General features: G+C 50.1%; 1 protein-coding gene and 1 long non-coding RNA gene across 22 annotated transcripts in view, besides 3 other annotated features; one reads left to right on the top strand and one right to left on the bottom strand.

The window, feature by feature from the left end:
- The window catches only part of ANKHD1-DT (ANKHD1 divergent transcript), a 30506-nt gene extending 24499 nt beyond the window's left edge, over nt 1-6007 (top strand). Inside the window, exons 2-3 of one of the 2 annotated variants that reach the window (NR_186044.1) lie at nt 5148-5490; nt 5721-6007. This is a non-coding gene — a long non-coding RNA (ANKHD1 divergent transcript). The remainder of the gene's footprint in view (nt 1-5147; nt 5491-5720) is intronic. The other variant, NR_186045.1, reaches the window with a different exon arrangement.
- On the bottom strand, nt 1762-16709 carry SLC4A9 (solute carrier family 4 member 9). Of its 20 annotated transcripts, none has more exons than NM_001258428.2 (22): nt 16437-16709; nt 15931-16163; nt 15536-15649; nt 15040-15095; nt 14729-14886; nt 14371-14458; nt 13837-13991; nt 13348-13464; nt 13001-13175; nt 12716-12849; nt 12278-12540; nt 11325-11383; nt 10881-11069; nt 10639-10752; nt 9322-9483; nt 9005-9183; nt 8244-8316; nt 5740-5808; nt 5279-5452; nt 4506-4661; nt 4060-4158; nt 1762-2133 (listed from the first exon to the last, which is right to left on the bottom strand). In NM_001258428.2, exons 1-21 carry the CDS (start codon nt 16664-16666, stop codon nt 4105-4107), a joined length of 2952 nt encoding a protein of 983 aa, NP_001245357.1. In that variant the 5' UTR covers nt 16667-16709; the 3' UTR covers nt 1762-2133; nt 4060-4104. The 20 variants fall into 20 exon arrangements, with proteins under 20 accessions (NP_001245357.1, XP_005268578.3, NP_113655.2 ...); XM_005268521.4 differs by having other exon boundaries at nt 15931-16091; NM_031467.3 differs by having other exon boundaries at nt 1762-2076; nt 15931-16091.
- Nucleotides 13283-13828: an enhancer, noted in NCBI's record as "H3K4me1 hESC enhancer chr5:139742660-139743205 (GRCh37/hg19 assembly coordinates)". NCBI's record gives its function as "activates a minimal SCP1, AML or CMV promoter by ChIP-STARR-seq in primed H9 embryonic stem cells {active_cell/tissue: H9 hESC(primed)}" and the evidence as "EXISTENCE:reporter gene assay evidence [ECO:0000049][PMID:30033119]".
- Nucleotides 13283-13848: a biological region, named in NCBI's record as "H3K4me1 hESC enhancer GRCh37_chr5:139742660-139743205".
- Nucleotides 13699-13848: an enhancer, noted in NCBI's record as "active region_23268". NCBI's record gives its function as "activates an Ori minimal core promoter by ATAC-STARR-seq in GM12878 lymphoblastoid cells {active_cell/tissue: GM12878}" and the evidence as "EXISTENCE:reporter gene assay evidence [ECO:0000049][PMID:35858748]".

The following is a 17211-nucleotide window of genomic DNA, read 5'->3' as shown; positions in this document are numbered from 1 at the left end:
CAAAAAGATAAAGGAAAAAAAAGTTTGGAAAATTTTTAAATGCACTTTTCAACAACTTGTGGATCAAAGGAGAAATCAGTAGAAATTAGAAAATACTTAGAAGAAATAAATGGTAATGAGAAGATTATATATCAAAACCTGTAAGATACAAGTAGTACTTAGGAGGAAATTCATAGCAGTAGTGTTTACATTAGGAAACAAATAAGGCTGAAAAAAAGGAGATAAGAAATTAAAAAACAGCAATAAACATAAAGAAAACAGAAAGAAGAAAATAAAGAGCAGAAATTAATGAAGTAGAGAAACATTCAGTAGAGAAGATCAACAAAGCCAAAAGTTAATTTAAAAAGACTAATAAAATAGCTTAACTTGCAAGAGTAACCAAGAATCAAAAACAAAGAGAAATAAGAAAACCATAACTAAATGTGCTACAGATATTAAGCAGGTAAGAGTTATAATAACTTTATGTCAATAAATATGAAAAATTAGATAAAATCAATAGATTCCCAGAAAAATACAATTCACCAAAAATGGCTGAAGAAGAAATAAAGAACCTGAAAATTAAAGAATTTGAATCAACTTAAACTTTCCGCAAAGCAACCTCCAGGCCCCAGTGGCTTCACCAGTGAATTCTGTGAGTCAATAGAAAACTGGATAATTGAATTGTGGTAGAGTTATACAATGGAGTGCTACCTAGCAATGAAAACAAACTACAACTACATGCATCAACATGTTTTTTGTTCGTTTGCTTGTTTGTTTTTGAGACACAGTCTTGCTCTGTTGCCCAGGCTAGAGTGCAGTGGTGTGATCTTGGCTCACTGCAGCCTCTGTCTTCTGGTTCAAGCGATTCTCCTGCCTCAGCCTCCCAAGTAGCTGGGATTACAGGCACATGCCACCATGCCAGGCTAATTTTTACATTTTTAGTAGAGACGAGGTTTTGCCATGTTGGCCAGACTGGTCTCAAACTCCTGACCTCAAGTGATCCACCCACCTCGGCCTCCCACAGTGCTAGGATTACAGGCGTGAGCCACCATGCCCAGCCCAAGATTTTTTTTCTTGCTTCTTCTTTTTTTTTTTTTTTTTTTTTTTTTTTTTTTTTTGAGACAAAGTCTCACTCTGCTGCCCAGGCTGGAATGCAATGGCACAATCTTGGCTCACTGCAACCTCCGCCTCCCTGGTTCAAGTGATTCTTCTGCCTCAGCCTCCTCAGTAGCTGGGATTACAAGTGCGTGCCACCACGCCTGGCTAATTTTTGTATTTTTAGTAGAGATGGGGTTTCACCGTGTTGGTCAGGCTGGTCTCGAACTCCTGATCTCATGATCCAACCACCTCGGCCTCCCAAAGTGCTGGGATTACAGGCGTGAGCCACTACACCCGGCTTTTTTTGCTTCTTTTTTTAAAAAAAAATTTGAGACAGGTTCTCGCTCTGTTCCTGTGTCTGGAGTGCAGTGGCATGATCATGGCTCACTGTAGCCTCGACCTCTCAGACTCAAGTGATCCTCCAGGCTCAAGCAATCGATCCTCCTGCCTCAGCTTCCTGAGTAGCTGGGACCACAGGCATGCACCACCACACCTAGCTAATTTTTTTTTGGTTTTTTTTTTTTTGTGTGTGTGTGTGTGTGTGTGTGTGTGTGTGTGTGGAAACAAGGTTTCACTCTGTTGTTCAGGCTACTCTGGACCCACCTCAGCCTCCCAAAGTGCTAGGACTACAGGCATGTGCCACCACACCCAGCCAAAAATTATTTTTATATGTGTAAAAAACTATTTCAAACAGATGAATATTTATTCTGGAAAGACTGGCTTTTTCTCTTTGCAAGATGAAAAGAGTTCCCTGATGGCCCTTAGATTCTGTCAAACAGAATCTGTGAGGACAGAAAGTTCAAAATGGGAAGCGCTTCGTGGCTCAGGACCTTTTAATGAGTAGAGAGTGAATGGGGCCTGATCAGTCCCTCTGGCTCACCAGCCTTTCCTAAGTGCACAGCAAACATGCTTGCTTCCTGCCACTCTCCACCCTCAGGTCAGGAGGTAACTGAGGTCTTGGCAGCTGCCCTTCAGTCCTTCCCCAAGCCGACTGAGCATCTGGAAGTTAAGCCAAAGGCCAAAAATGTCCTGACTTCCTGAGTAAGCACCTGTGAACTAATAGAAGACATGGTGAGGCCAAAGCAAGTGCTCAGGGGACATACTACTGCAAAGAACAGAGCAAAAAGAGTGATAAGAGATAAGGAGCGCCCAGAAGATCTTGTTCGGGGCCAGCCAGTGAATTCCCCTTTCTCTCTCCAGTCTCCAGTCCCCCAAATTTCCCATTGCAAGTGTCAGAGGCCCTTAGGTGCTTTTTTTTTTTTTTTTTTTTTTTTTGAGAGGGAGTTTTGCTCTTGTCGCCCAGGCTGGAGTGCAATGGTGCAATCTCGGCTCACTGCAACCTCCGCCTCCCGGGTTCAGGCAATTCTCCTCTCCAGTAGCTGGGATTACAGGTGTCTGCCACCACACCCAGCTAATTTTTGTATTTTTAGTAGAGACAGGGTTTCACCATGTTGGCCAGGCTGATCTCAAACTCCTGACCTCAAGTAATCCACCCGCCTCGGCCTCCCAAAGTGCTGGGATTACAGGCGTGAGCCACCGTGCCTGGCCTGGCTCTTAGGCTCTTGAGCTTGGAGAAGCATGAAGATGAGGGTGTTCTATGGCCTAAAAGAGAGATTTTTGTTTTTGATTTTTTTTTTGAGACGGAGTCTCGCTCCGTCGCCCAGGCTGGAGTGCAGTGGCACAATCTCGGCTCACTGCAACTTCCGAACCTCCACCTCCCAGGTTCAAGTGATTCTCCTGCCTCAGCCTCTTACAGGCATGCACCACCACACCCGGCTAATTTTATTATTTTTTAGTAGAGACAGAGTTTCACTATGTTGGCCAGGCTGGTCTCAAACTCCTGAACTCAAGTGATCCACCCACCTCTGCCTCCCAAAGTGCTGGGATTACAGGTGTAAACCACTGTACCCAGCCCCAAAAGAGAGCTCAGCTTTTTAAAGGCAACCAGTTGTAGGCTTTTGTACATGCTGTGGCCTTCCTTAGAATATTTTCCCTCCATCTTGTCCTGGCTTGCTCCTTTTAAAAAAAATTTTTTTAGAGACAGGATCTCACTATGTTGCCCAGGCTGGAGTGCACTGGCTATTCACAGTCGTGATTATTGCACACTACAGCTTGAAGTCCTGGGCTCAAAGAATCCTCTTGCCTCAGCCTCCCTAGTAGCTGGCACTACAATTGTGTGCTGCTGTGCCCAGCTACCTGGCTAGCTTCTATTCATTATTTGGATTTCAAATTATGGACCATTTCCTCTTAGAAATGGAACACCCACCACCCAACCACCACCACCCCACCTTCACCAACTCTCACCACTCCACCTTACTATTCTCCAAGAAGAGGTCAGAAGCCCTGCTCCCATGGCCCCTGTTATTCCCTTATCAGCACTATCCCACTCTAACAATTGTCTGTTTATTTGTCTACTCTCCCACTGGGATTTAAGTTTCCTGAGGTCAGGGACCATGACTGTCTTACTCACTACTGTATCTCTAGTACCAAGATACTGCATGATAGGTACTCAGAAAATGCTTGATATATGGATGAATAAAATGAAGGAATGGCAGAGAGGACAAGTGATAGAGATTTCCTCCACAAGTCTGGAGTGTGGTTCTCAGCAGCCTAAGGGGGGAGCCTTCCAAGCAAGGGAAAGGAGCACCAGGCTTTCTCCTCCCTTCCTCTTCCTTCCCACTCTTTCCCATTCTTTTGCCAGGGCACCGCCCCCCACAACACCCATTTCCACTTCTCATTTGGTGTGAGTTTGAGCTCCCTCTACTGACCAAACTTCAGAACCACAGGGAGCCAAGCCCAGGCACCCTTGCCAGTTACTCTTCGCTAGGAAGAGACCCTTCTACACCCCAGCACCCCCAATCTAGGATTCCTAAGGGACTGGAGTAAGGAGAAAACAGGGCTGGCCAACACACTGGAGAGTTCCAAGGTCTGAACCCGCACCTCCCATCCTCAACATCAGGAGCACTTCCCTCACACCCTCACCTCATGCTGTTTCCTGGGGTCTCCACTCCCAGACTCCTACTCCAGCTAATTCACAGAAATGTTGATTTCTGGAGCCTTTGGCTGATACATCAGCTCTGACTGTGGAAGACAGATCCCAAGATGGATTGAGAATAGATAGAAAGACAGATAGTGAAAGACAACATAGAGGTAAACCCACAGTGAGACAAAACAAAGATCAGAGTTGAGAAAGACAGCCCACTTGAGCTGAAGCCTCAGCCCTTTCCACCCACATCGAGGGCCCCTGTCCTATGAAGAAAGATTTCCTTCACCCCTTCAGTCTGCCTATGTCCATACACAGATAAGGGAAGTGACTGTTGATCAGATCTGCGGGCTTACTGGAGATATTATTTAGGGACAGCTCCTGGACAAGAACGCTCTCCCAAACCCTGACACATTCTCCTGAGAGGACCCAGCCTGGAGCTCACATCTTCACTGTCACTTCCACTGAATGAGTGTTCTGGCTCCAGCCCCTTCTCAGGGATGCTTCTCTCCTCCTCTGGCATCAGCTCATCCAGCCAGAGGAGTTCCTGTGGTGAGAAGACCCTCTCCAGGGCCTTTCGGACCCCCACAAGGCCCAGCAACTGCAGGAATAGAAACATGGCCCAGGCCTGTCAGCAACAGTAGTAGGAACATTAACAATAGTAACACTTATTGAGCACTTCCTATGTGCTAGGCATTGTATATCAGTTTCACTGAATGCTAGCACATTCCTATGAGGTAGATAGAATAAATTATTCCCATTGTACAGGGAAGGAAACTGAGACCCCAAGTGATTAGTTACTTCCCAGAGGTCACACATCTGGGATATATAAGCAGATTGATTCTACTGCAAAGCCTGTGACTCTTAACTTCCTCAATAAGAACAAGGCCAGAAGCCACCTATGTTATCACCTCACTGAGTAATAAAAGTGTCACCATTTCCTCTACCAAGACCTCAGATTTCTTCTGGGTTTTATATTCTTACCTGTGGCTGATCACTCCAAAGAGGTTGGGAAAAGAGGTGAATCAGGTATCCCAGGACTAGCCCATACATAGGTATCATCCTGCCATCTTTTTCTTTGTCTTAGGATTCCCAACCAGGGAGAGCCACAGCGAGTGAGAGGGGAGATTCTTCCTCTCGTGGAGGCCTTGGCCACCCTTCCAGGCTCAGAGTCTCCCAAGACCCTCCAGGACACAGCCCAACCCTGCCTCAGCTTACCATGAGGGGGAAGATGATGGCTGCAGGGGTAGACTTGATTATCCAAAGCAGCCCCAGACAGGCAAGCTGGATGGCTGTGAAGAGGTGGACCCTGGTCAGAGGCACATGCCGCAAGAGTAGCAGGTCTGGCTGGTGTTTTGCTGGCATCAACAACAGCTTCACCCTATTAGTGAACTAGGGGAACAAGAGGAAGAGGAAAGCAGGGCACTCAGGTAGCCTGATAGGAGGGTGTCACTGATAGCTATCATAGCCCAGCACTGGGAGCAGGCAGAGAGCATGGCAGCCGAGTCCCTGAGTCCAGGAGAGACAGGAAAAAGAGAGTAAGAGGGAAATTGGCAAGTGTAAGCAGGAGATGCCAGCAGAAAAGAAAAAAGGAGTAGGGTTGCTAGGTAATTTTGTTCTTTTTTGTTTGTCTTTTTATTCTTCTTTTTTCTTTTGTTAGGTGATTTTAATGGGCTCACCTGAATGCTGCTGAGCGCTGCCACCCCCATATACAGGAAGATGCCATAGAGCACAGGCATTGGAATGAACTGGTAGAAAGAAGCAGAGAGTTATCAAAGTTTACCTCTGCCAACCTCCCAGATGCCCCAGGATGCCCAGATGCCCTAGATCCCTCTAGCATCTAGCATCCAGGTCTGCCCAGGCCTTGCCTTTCCTTTCACATGTTTCATGCCGATCTTATTGAATCCTCAAATCAATTAGATGAAGTAAATGTTATTATTGCCTTCATTTTACAGATTGGGAAATTGAATTTCAGAGGGACTAAGTAACTTTGTCCATTACCTGGCCTACCATTCCAATCTTATCTATCACATTTCCTTCTGTTCTTTATGCTCCCACTATACTAACCGCCTTTCCTTCCCTCAACATGCCCAAGTTTGTTCCTACCCCTTGCAAAGCCTTTTGCTTTGCTATTCCCTCCACCTAAAATGCTCTTCCCCCAGACTTTCTCATGACCAGTTTATTCTTATTACTCATGCCTCCTCTCATGACACCCTGAAAGGTCTTCATTGACTTTTTAACTTCAGGCCCCATCTAAAGTAGCCCCTGGCACTCTTAATCATCTTATCTTCTTTTATTTTTCACAGAAGTTATCACTATCTAAAGTTATCCTATTCTCTTGTTTTAATTTGTTTTTTTGTTTTTGTTTTTTTTTTTTTGAGGTGGAGTTTCGTTCTTCCACCCAGACTGGAGTGATGTGGCTTGATCTCGGCTCACTGCAACCTCCATCCCCCCAGGCTCAAGCGATTCTCATACCTCAGCCTCCCAAGTAGCTGGGATTATAGGCACCCCCCACCACGCCCAGCTAACTTTTATATTTTTAGTAGAGATGGGGTTTCGCCATGTTGGCCAGGCTAGACTCGAACTCCTGACCTCAGATGATCCACCCGCCTCAGCCTCCCAAAGTGCTGGGATTACAGGCGTGAGCCACCGTGCCTGGCTTCTTGTTTTAATTTTTAAAAATCTTTCTCCTCTCACCAGGTTGTAAGGTTAGAAAAATGATTTCTTTTGAGCACCATTATATCCCCAGTACCTAGAACAGTGCGTGGCATGTGGGTTTTTGTTTGTTTTTTTGTTTAGGGTTTTCTGTTTTTTGGGATTTTTTGTTTTGTTTTGTTTTTTGAGACAAGATCTCACTCTGTTGCCCAGGCTGGAGTCCAGTGTCACAAACCTGGCTCATTGCAGCCTAGACCTCCTGGGCTCAAGTGATGCTCCCACCTTAGCCTCCCAAGTAGCTGAGACTACAGGTGCACACAACCATGCCCAGCTAACTTTTGTATTTTTTGTAGAGACGGGGTTTCGCCATGTTGCACAGGCTGGTCTCAAACTCCTGAGCTCAAGCAATCCGCCCACCTCGGCCTCCCAAAGTGCTGGGATTACAGGTGTGAGCCACCACACCCGGCCTAGCATATGGTTTATGCTCTGTAAATGTCTGTAAATGAGAGTCACCCAGTTAGTAAGTGGCTGATCCGGTCCATCTGGCTCTTTCCCTACTCCACTTTCACCCAGCTTCCATGACCTTTCCCTTCCCTAACCTCTTGTCGTCCTGCCAGTGACCCTTGTCTGACATTCTCCACACCCTCCTTGACTGCTTGCTGTCTTGGCTTGTTCAACCTTTTTGCTATTACTTGTTACTTAATTTTTGCTCATTTGTGTGTGTTGCTGGTAGGGGCTTAGTTCCATATTTCTTTTCAATATTCCACTGACCCGTACTTCTCCCAAGTGCCTAGCAGTCTTGCATATAGCAAATATTCCATATACCTCTGGTGAAGGAGAAGTGAAGGCTTTTTGCCTCAAAGTTTTTCTGTTGTTGTTTTTTGGTTTTTTTTTGTTTTTTTTTTTTGAGACATTCTTGCTCTTGTCATCCAGTGATCACCACCTACTGCACTCTCAAACTCCTGGGCTCAAGCGATCCTTCCACCTTAGGCACACACCACCATGCCCAGCTACCTTTTTTATTTTTTGCAGAGACAGAGTCTCCTTATGTTGCCCAGGTAGGTCTCAAACTTCTGCGCTCAAGTGATCCTCCCACCTCAGCCTCCCAAAGTGCTGGGATTACAGGCATGAGCCACCGCACCTGGGCTGATCATACTCTTAGTCTCAGGTTTGTTGGGAGGCTAGAGCAAGGGTAGCACTTAGACCCTAGGGGATGGTGGTGGCACACCCACACCTTGCTCCACTGGGTAAAAAGCCCATTGGATAAGCGTTTGAGTTCTCAGACAGATCTGAAAAACTGGCTCTTTTGATGGGCTCTTGCAAGTTTCTTTGCCTCTTTAAACTTCATCTGCCTCATTTGTAAGGTACATACTCCTTTCAGGGTTAATGTGAGGATTAAATGAGACCATGTATGGAGAAAACTTAACAGAGCACCTGGCACACTGTAAGTATTCAACTACTGTCAGTTCTTGCTGTGCTCCTATTATTACTACACTGACCCTGATCCTGGCTTGTATAACAAAGGTACCTTGAGCACAGGTGCCAGGAAGATGGAGGCTCCTGTAAGGATGAACACCACCAGGCCTGTCAGCCTCTGTTCCCTGTGGGGAGAGGGAGGAGTTAGCTGAGGTCTGGGAGAGTCCCTGGGGTATCCAGACTGGAGATCCTGGCTGAATACCAGTACAGACCCCGGCAGCAAGAGAAAACTAGAGGAATACCCCAGTAGGTCACCCAGAGGGATGAGCCCTTAGCTTGATGTGAAAAATTGGTGGAGAGGAAGGGGCAGAGCACTTCAAGGTGAGAGTCCCAGACCTCTCCATCAATTCAAGTTCATAGTTGCTCCTTATTTTTATTTTGATGGAAAATTAGCAATGTTTACACTGCCATAAAGACTTACATTTCACAATTTATCAAGTTGATTTCATATACTTTAGATACTTAGACTGTGCTTCCAACAGTTCCAAAATTGCTTTTATGATGGATTCCTTTGTAACTTCTACATTGAGTGAGGATTATTAGGTGGCACCTGACCCTCCACTTCAGCCCTGGCTGCCTCTACCTTTGCATGGATGATAATCCTCTTGAGGCCCCTCCCAGTCCCCATGGCTGAGGGGAGAGAGGGGAAGATCTGACTCACCCATCTCAGAGCCCAGAACTCACTCATTCTGCCACTGCAATGCTTGTGGGACACCAGCTTAGAATTTAAGCTGCCCAAGTAACTCTGCCATGTTCCCCTTTGCCTTACCTTGCTGCCCACCTCTTACTCCACTTCCTAAATACCGCCCTCACCTGATACCCAGGAAGTTGGGGCGCTCCCCGGGGGCACAGGCTCTGCTCTCTCTCCGAAGACTGTCCATGTGAGCCAGGGAGATGACAGTGGCTGAGACATACCAAGGCAGTCCAAGCGCTGATGTGAGTAGCATCAGCACAGCCACACAGAAGAGGTCCAGGTGGAAGCCAGCTCCCTTCTGCAGGTAGTGGTGGGGGCAATGAGGATGAAGCTAGCCCAGGCCCCAGCCCTCTGTCCTCTGAGGTAGGAGAGGAGGAGCGTAGACTCCCCTGGAGCTTCTGTCCCTTGGTCTTGGGCCTTACCCAGCAGGCCTTACCTGCAGTCTGTATTCCATGCGGTTGAGGATGACTGCTGTGATCTGTTGGTCCATGAAGATGAGGATAGACAGCAGCAGGGCAGGCAGGGCAGCTGCCACACTCCACCACCAGGGGTTGGCTCCAAAAGGTGACACCAGCCAGCCACGCCCAGGGAGTGTGGGCTGGAGGAGGGCATTTCATGGACAGGTTGGAGTGGGTCTCCCAAGAGCATCTCACCTGCACATCTCAACCTTGGCATTCTTCCACAACCTGCCCCCACCCCAAGTCACTAGATGCTAGTGGGCTGTGTGTGCATAGCTGGTTCAAAGCATCCCAGTGCCTTAAAAGACAGCAGATGGAAGGAGACCAGCCCTGAGGTCAGGCTGGAACCAGGGGCTCTGGACTTTGGTTCAGGGTCCCTCCCTCCCTGGAACAGAAGGAGGTGGCACATGTGGCCTACACACACTTCTTGATGTACAGAGCCCTGCTCCCTAGAGATCCCTCTCCCCCTATCCCGGGTGGGGCAACTCAGGCTCAGACCTGCCTTGATCTGAGGCAGGGACAGGGCTGGGTGTGTCTGTGTCCACGCTGATTACAAGCATATGTGTTGGGGAGGGGGCCCCAGTTGCTGCCCCAGCTGGATTCCTCCCTGCTCTCCTGTCTTGGGGGAATTTGGAGAGGAGGTCTCCAAATGCAAAGGCAAAGTCTAGAAATCAGTGCTAAGCCTTGTCCTGCACACTGTCATGCCCTGGAAAGGGAGTTCCAGCTTTCCTGGATCAGGGTAGGCAACGTGGGGTGGGAAGAAGAGAGTGAGGAGTAGTGGAGTGGGCAGGGCCACGCCAAGGGTGGGGCAATCCCGTAACAATAATAGCTAACATTTATTGAGGACTTGGTATGTGCCAGGCATGTGGTAAGTGCTTTCCACTGTGATCTTCTGTAAACCTCAAAACAATCTACGGGGTAGGAACTATTGTCATTTTATTATTTCCATTTTATAGACGAAGAAATTGAGGCTTAGAAATGTGCATTAACTTGCCTAATGCATAGCTGGGAAGTGGAAGAACTGGAACTCAAACCCAGGGCTGGCTGATCAGAACCCATTCTCTTAACCCATACCCTGTAATAATAGCTACCGTGTATTCTCTGTACTCACGTGTCTGCTGCAGTACTTCATTTAATCCTCATGACAACCCTGTGAGGCCATTATTATTACTATCTCTAGCTTATTAGTGAAGAAAGAAGCTTAGAGAAGTGTGGGATTTATTCATTTTCCTTCCCCATGGTCTGCTGGCCCTGCTTTCCCCTCTGGTCCCCCAACCCTCTTCCCTGGCTCTCACCTTGAACTCTCTGGGTACCATGAGCTTTGGTGTGGCTAGGCCCAGGAAAGCATCAAGGCCACAGCCGAGCAGGATGGCCAGGACTGAGGAGAAGTCGCTGAGCCCTTTGCGCACCTGGCACACAGTGGACACTCAGTCAGGTCCAGGCCTGCCATCTCTCTTTTTCCACACCACTTCCCATCACAGATAGGACCCAAAGCTTAGAGTCAGGCCTCTCCCACAGAAAGAAAGGTGAAACTCACCACAGAGGGGAAGAAGCGGCTGGTCTTTACACACTTGAGGGCCATAGCAAAGAAGAAAGAAGTAAGGAAGAGGAGAAGGGAGAAGAAGGCAATGTCTGGGACTGTATGACAGCCAGGGCCACGAGGGTGGCCTCCCTGCCGGGTGCACTCAGGTGGCGGCAGCAAGGATGCATTGATCAGGCCTAAGTCCTGTACACAGGAGGGTCAGGAGTGGAGTTATAGGCAATGGAGTAAATGTCCTGCTCTCCTGGACCAACTTCAAGGGAGGAGGGACCCACAGAGACACCAGGGGCCCAGGATGGGAAGTTCCCAGCTGTAGGAAATGGCTAAGCTTTACTCACCTATGAAGGTTTCCTTAACCTATGGGTAGGAAGAGCTAGAAACCACCGACTGCCTTGGTCTCCACCCTTTCCTTCCTAGAACCTCCCAGGAGCAGTCCCTCACCATGCTTACAATGTCGTCTCTGTCTTTTGGCCTTGTCCTTATCCATTGAGACTCATTTCCTGGGAAGCAGAGAAGAATTCAGATGTATGTTCCCTCCCCTGGGAACCTCCTCCAGCCCCATAAAATTCTTATCTGATGGGTCCAGGTGAACCAGAGTTCTTAATTGTGACTCATCTGTCTGCTGACTCTATCACTACCAAGTGTGCGAGAAGGACATTGTCTCATGCCCCCATCCTCTCAAATTCTCTACCCATCTGCATCCCTGGTACCAAGCACTGGACCTGGCCACAGTAGATGCTCAGCAAATGTTGGCTGAATAGAGGAGTATACAAATCTGTGTGTTTCCACCAGGGCTAGAACTGGTCTTGTTCATGCCTAGCACTGATAGGAGAACATATAGAGAGGCCACTTCTTCCCAGTCCTGGGGTTGCCTTCCATGTGGAGGGATATATGCAAGTGTAATACTCCAAGCCTCTCTCCACCTGGCCGGCCACTCTCACCCAGAAGAGCAGTGATATATTTGATTGGTGATTTCAGGAAATGAAGCTGGGCATACCTGGCCCTGCCCCTTTCTCTCCCCTCTCTCGAGTATAAGCTGCCTGTTTGATGTATGTATTTAGCTCTACTCCCCTGGGGTAAGATAGTCTCAAACCAGTGCTTCCACGACTGGTGGGTAAGTCTATTCAATTTTGGCTTCATCATTAGGAAGCCCATTCACCCACAGATATAACCCATGTTCCTTTATCAGTGTTGTCAGAAAGGAAGATGATATCAGGCCTTCTGTTGTCTTATTTCTCAATTGATTCAGAACCAGAGTGTAAATAGTACTGCCAGTTATTGGGTAAGTATGCAGCATTTTGCTGAACTTAACCAGGGGGGATAGTAAGGGTGCAGCCCCTCCCCTTCCCTACATCCTTCTTCACCTGACCAAGGTCCCTGTTTCCCTTACCCACCTCCTGGGCCTGGGTATTGGCAGAGGCACCCGTAGGCAGAGGACCCAGGCTTCTGGATAGGATAGGTATGGGTCAAGTTCAGCATTTTGCCCACAGCATCGTAGATGAAGATGAGGCTGATGAGGGCACAGAAACCTTCCTCAGTGAAGCGGGTGAAGTAGCGCACCAGCACACTGGCCTCTGTGGCCACCAGCACCAGGCAAAAGGTAGCCACCCAGATGCCCACCCATAGGCGGAAGGGCAGGTAGTCCAGGCTGTAATCTCTGTGGGGATGAGAGACAGGAAGGCTGGCTTAGCAGGGCTGTCTGCTTCCCACTAAACCCAGGTCAGGTGTCCCTCAACCCAAACAGATAGCTCCCACTCTCTCCTATTCACCCAGCCAGGAGCAGGCTGACCATGGCACTAGTGAGGGTCCGGTGATGGGGGGAGCTCTCCTACCTGCTGAAAGAGAAGAGCAGGCGCTCAAAGACCAGCACTGGCCCCGTGCTGCTCAGAATGGTGAGGGGCTGGCCTGCCATCAGGCAGAAGGCAGCTCCAGCCACTGCTGTGCCCAGGAAACTTTCCAGCACTCCCTGGAAGCCAACAGGGGCTCAGCACAGGACCCTGAAGTCCTCGGGGTCCTTTGAAGCTTTGGGAGAGCCTCCTTAACTTACCCATAGTCCCAGGGGAAGGGATGGACTAGGGGACACCAACGCTTGTGCCTGCCCCCTGGGCCCTACCCACCTGGGCACCATCAGTGGCATCTCCCAGCAGACCCCCAAAAGTGATGGCATTAGTGACAGTGGCCAGGTAAATGTAGAGTACGGCCGAGAAGCACTGGAGATGCAGGGCGTCCAAGAAATCGCTGGGGTACCACGGGACCTTCCTGCGCACGTCCTGGATAAGGCCCCCAAACAGCCTCCCGCCCGAGGGTCGTCAGTGATCCAGGTTTTCACACTCCACACCCGCATCCCCGCTACTTTCCCTGTGACCGGGTGAGCCCCTCCCACAGTGAGCACACACCTCAGTTTCCCTGTGACTCCTCCCCTCCCCCAGGTCACCTACCCTTGTTTCCTCCCAGCTCGCCTCACCTGCCGGTCCGCTGCAACTCCGGGCTGTGTGCGTGTGGCCCATGGCGGTGCCTGTCCTCAGCCGAGGTCAGGCGCGGGACGGCGGGACCTCTGATCTCCCGCTGTTGCGAGGGAAGCCTGAGGAGGAGGGGAACCCCAGGTTGGCTGAGGATCTCCAACCAGTCTGCGACTCGGTCCAGAGCTCGTGGCGCCCTGCCCCCTAGCGGCTGCTCTTGTCTCTGCCGGCGAGGGAACCATGGCGACACCTGGGCCTCTAGAAGGTCCAGGTCATATTGCGACCTGTGAAAGCCAGGCTCGGGCAGGGAAGGTCTTTGTTCAGGTCTCTTAGCGAGAGAGTAGTCCAGCAGAACTCAGAGTTAGGTCTGCCTGACTCCAAATCCAAAGATAGGTCCCTATCTCTTTCCTGGGACACCACCCCTCCTCAACAATGGAATTAGACCCAGGGCCTATATGGGCAGGAATCTGTATGGGATGATGGCTCCCAGGTACCTTTTGTGCTGAGATGGCAGACATTTGGGCGGGGGAATCCGGGCTGTTGGGTCCCACCGACCTGGGGGAAGCACTGTCACCTCCTCTAGGAATGCATCCAGGGCTGCCAGAAGGTCATGAAGGTTGCTGGCCCGACGAACTGACCACTGGAATTGCTGGGAATGGGGGCACAGAATGGGTGGTAAGTGCAAACCTGGTCTCTTACATGCATTTTCATAGTCTCAAAACTAGACAGACACAAGTCACAGAGGCAGACAAGTCATTCACACATTCCTTTATGCATGCATTAATTCATTCATTCAGTGGGTATCTATTGAGTGCCTACAGTGTGCCAGCACTCATCCAGTAATGGGGCTGCACTAGGAGACGAGGAAACTTCAGTCTCAGTGCTCACTGTGCCTCATTGCTGTATTTAGGGACACATACAGAGTCCACACACACACACTCACATGAGCCCATGCATGTATGCATGTGTGCACACACACACAGGCATGCACGCGTGCGCGCGCACACACACACACCTGCTCAGCTCACCGGGTCACTGAGGAGGACAGCTGCTGCCCGTCCCATCTCATGGTAGCCCTTTCCCAGCATACAGGGGCCCAGGAGAAGGCAGAAAAACCTGAGGAAGGAACCAGGCCCCAGAGATTCACAGGCTGCTTTCCCACAGGGCAGCCCTGGCCTCTGATGCTCAGCTCTGACCTATCAGCTCCCATAAACACACTCATTTGCACACCTACCATGCAGCCCTGACCACTACTCTCTCCCCAGACCCCTGAGCACCATCCTCCCCACAGCCTCAGAGAATCAGACTGAGACCCTCCTTCCCCTCCTCAGTAAAGACCCTTCTAGGTTCTGGGATCCCTGACTCCCACTCACTCAGTAGCCTCACCTGCTTGGGAGGGACACCTCAGTAAGGGACCCCAGTACCACAGGGTTCCGCAGTCGAACAAAGGCTCCCAGTGGCTGTGCCAGGAAGCCCAGCTCCCCTGCCAGCACAGTCCCTGCCTCAGCTCCTGGAGGTAGCTTCTGTCTCAGGGGGTTCTGACACTGGATGGGGGTTCAAGGAGACACAGAATATGAAAGGTTATTTGGGGAGGATAAGATCTCAAATGATGAGAAATCCAGTGGAGAGTAGACTTTTGTTAATTTCTAACCCCTCTCCCAGCCACTGGAAAGGGACCCCAAGGAAGGGCCACAAACCTGTTCCCTCAGGGGGGCTTCCTCATTGTCAGAAGCCTTTCTTGGATGAGTAGAGCCTACAAAACAGGATTATGCAGTGATTAAGACCACAGGCTTTGGGGGTGGATCCACCAGGATTCCCTAATCACTTTTGCCACTGACAAGCTGTAAGAATTAGAGTATACCCTTCTCCACTCTGAGCCACAGTTTTCTCACCACTAAAATGGGGATAATTGTGGTACTATTTACAGGGTGGTTGTGAAGATCAAATGAGATACTGTGAAGATCAAATGGTAGGCCTAGTGCCTACCAAGTACATGTCTTCACAGAACTCTCTTACGATTCTAGCCCCCTGAATCTTCTCCCCACAACATTACCACCAGTTTCCTCTTGCTCATGAGTCCTGGGTTGGAGCCTGAACTAAGCCTGGGCTACTTCTAGCCCTGGAAGGTGCAGGGGAGATCTGAGACCCTGCCACACCAGGGTCTTGGTCCTGGGCCCAGGGAGGGGCTCTCACCCCAGCAGGGCCTGGTGCCTGTGGTCTGGTTGTAATGCTGGGGTCTCTGCAGCAGCAAGGCCTGCAACTGCCCTCTCAGCTCTGGGCTCAGCGACTCCACCCTGGTCACCTGCTCTGGAGAATGGATTGGGGGTCATCTCCTTCCTGAGAGTTCCCTGCCGCACACTCTTCCCCTTCTCCCTCTGCCCAGACACCTTTCCCTTCTGGGAGTCTCAGAATGCCAGGGCCAATGAACTTGCTCCTCCACCCTGCTTTTCCATGTCCACCCTGTGACAAGGGTAGACAATCCTAGGAGGGGTAGGGATGGGCTCTGGAAGATTTCAAGACTTTGGAGGGGAAATCCTGGGGAAAAGGCATGGCTACCCAGGCCCTTCCTGCAAAGGATCCCAGCCTACCCACGAGCTCCAGGAGGCTCTGAGCTGGGCAGTCCAGCAGTACAAGGCCCTCGGCCAGCAGGCTGCGGAGCTTCTGGAGGCTGGGCAGTGCCAGGGTGGGCACGTGGGGGGCACTCCACCGGCCTGCAGCCACCTCCAACTTCTCCTCAAACAGTACCCACCTGTGATGAAGGTGGGTAGACAGTGTTATTGAGGGCATTTCTCCCATGTCCAGGAGCAGAGATGCAGAGGAGCTAGGGAAGGCAAGGCAATGAGGGCATCCTGGGCCCAGTGGTGTGAAGTCTCCCCCCCACCCTGGCAGTCACCCCTCATCTAGGGTCTTGGGGATCTCAAAACTAGACTGCAGAGGAGGCTGGGCATCATGGAAGGTAAGACCCTGAAATAAGGGAACACAGCTGGGAAAATCCTAATTTTGGGCAGCCCCATAAGAAGCGCTGGGGGACATATAGGAGGCTCCAGCTGGGGAAGGGGAAGGATCCCACAGAACTGGCCTGCATCCAACTTACCTGCCTGTCTCTCTCCACTCCAGCGCCTGGGGCCAGCCCAGCAGCTCATTCAGCTGAATGAAGAGCAGAGGGTCTTTGGGTACTCCCAGTTCCTTGCTCTCTGTGTCTGAGGGGCCATCAGGGCTGGGGCCGGTGCCAGGGTCAGGGTTGCTGTCCAGCTCCCCTGAAGGAATATTTCTAGGAGCACTGGAGGCTTCAAACCCTTCCTGGCCTGGCAGCTTCATTTCCATGAGGCTTGCACAGAATCTCAGAACCAGTACAGTCCTAGGTTCTGAAGCCAGGGGCCCTCTGGCTGGTTGCATTTATAATGCATCCCCCACTGCAGCACAACACAAACAGAACAAGGCCTGCTGACTCCAGACTCTACCGGTCACCTACTCCCCTACTTGCTTACCCCACCCCCTGCTGGCATAAGAGTATTTGTAAGACTAGTCTGGCCTTTCCCAGGCTCTCCAGAAATGCCCAACCTGGGGCCAAAATGTGTATGTGCATTTCCTGTGGTATCAGGTCTGATCCCACTGTGTTTTGTGTAAAGAAACAGGAGTAAATGATTGGCTTGGGTCTGAGGACTTGGTACCCCCAGATTTTGCTGCCCCCCTCACTTGTATCAAATATAAATACCAAACACCCAGGACTGTTTTGGGTGTCACCAACACACCCCTGGGGCCACAGACACACCTATTTGGACAAACAGGGACCTAATAAATAATTGAGTCCATGGAAGCCAGACAGGGTAAGGGAGATAGCAGGCAGAGGACCTGCCCATTAAATGGGA

This window comes from Homo sapiens, chromosome 5, assembly GCF_000001405.40.
Source record: "Homo sapiens chromosome 5, GRCh38.p14 Primary Assembly".
NCBI classification, from domain to species: Eukaryota; Metazoa; Chordata; class Mammalia; order Primates; family Hominidae; genus Homo; species Homo sapiens.
This window is presented reverse-complemented; position numbering and strand designations above follow the sequence as displayed.

Bases quoted from the DNA above. Each gene is read 5' to 3' on its own strand.
- SLC4A9 (XM_017009933.2), bottom strand. From the start codon at position 16,666: ATGGAAATGAAGCTGCCAGGCCAGGAAGGGTTTGAAGCCTCCAGTGCT. The intron at 14,887-15,039 runs GTTTGTGGCCCT...ACCCCCATCCAG, and splicing joins AAGCCCCCCTGAGGGAACAG to TGTCAGAACCCCCTGAGACA. The intron at 11,070-11,324 runs GTGAGGGACTGC...TCCTGTGTACAG, and splicing joins GAGACGACATTGTAAGCATG to GACTTAGGCCTGATCAATGC.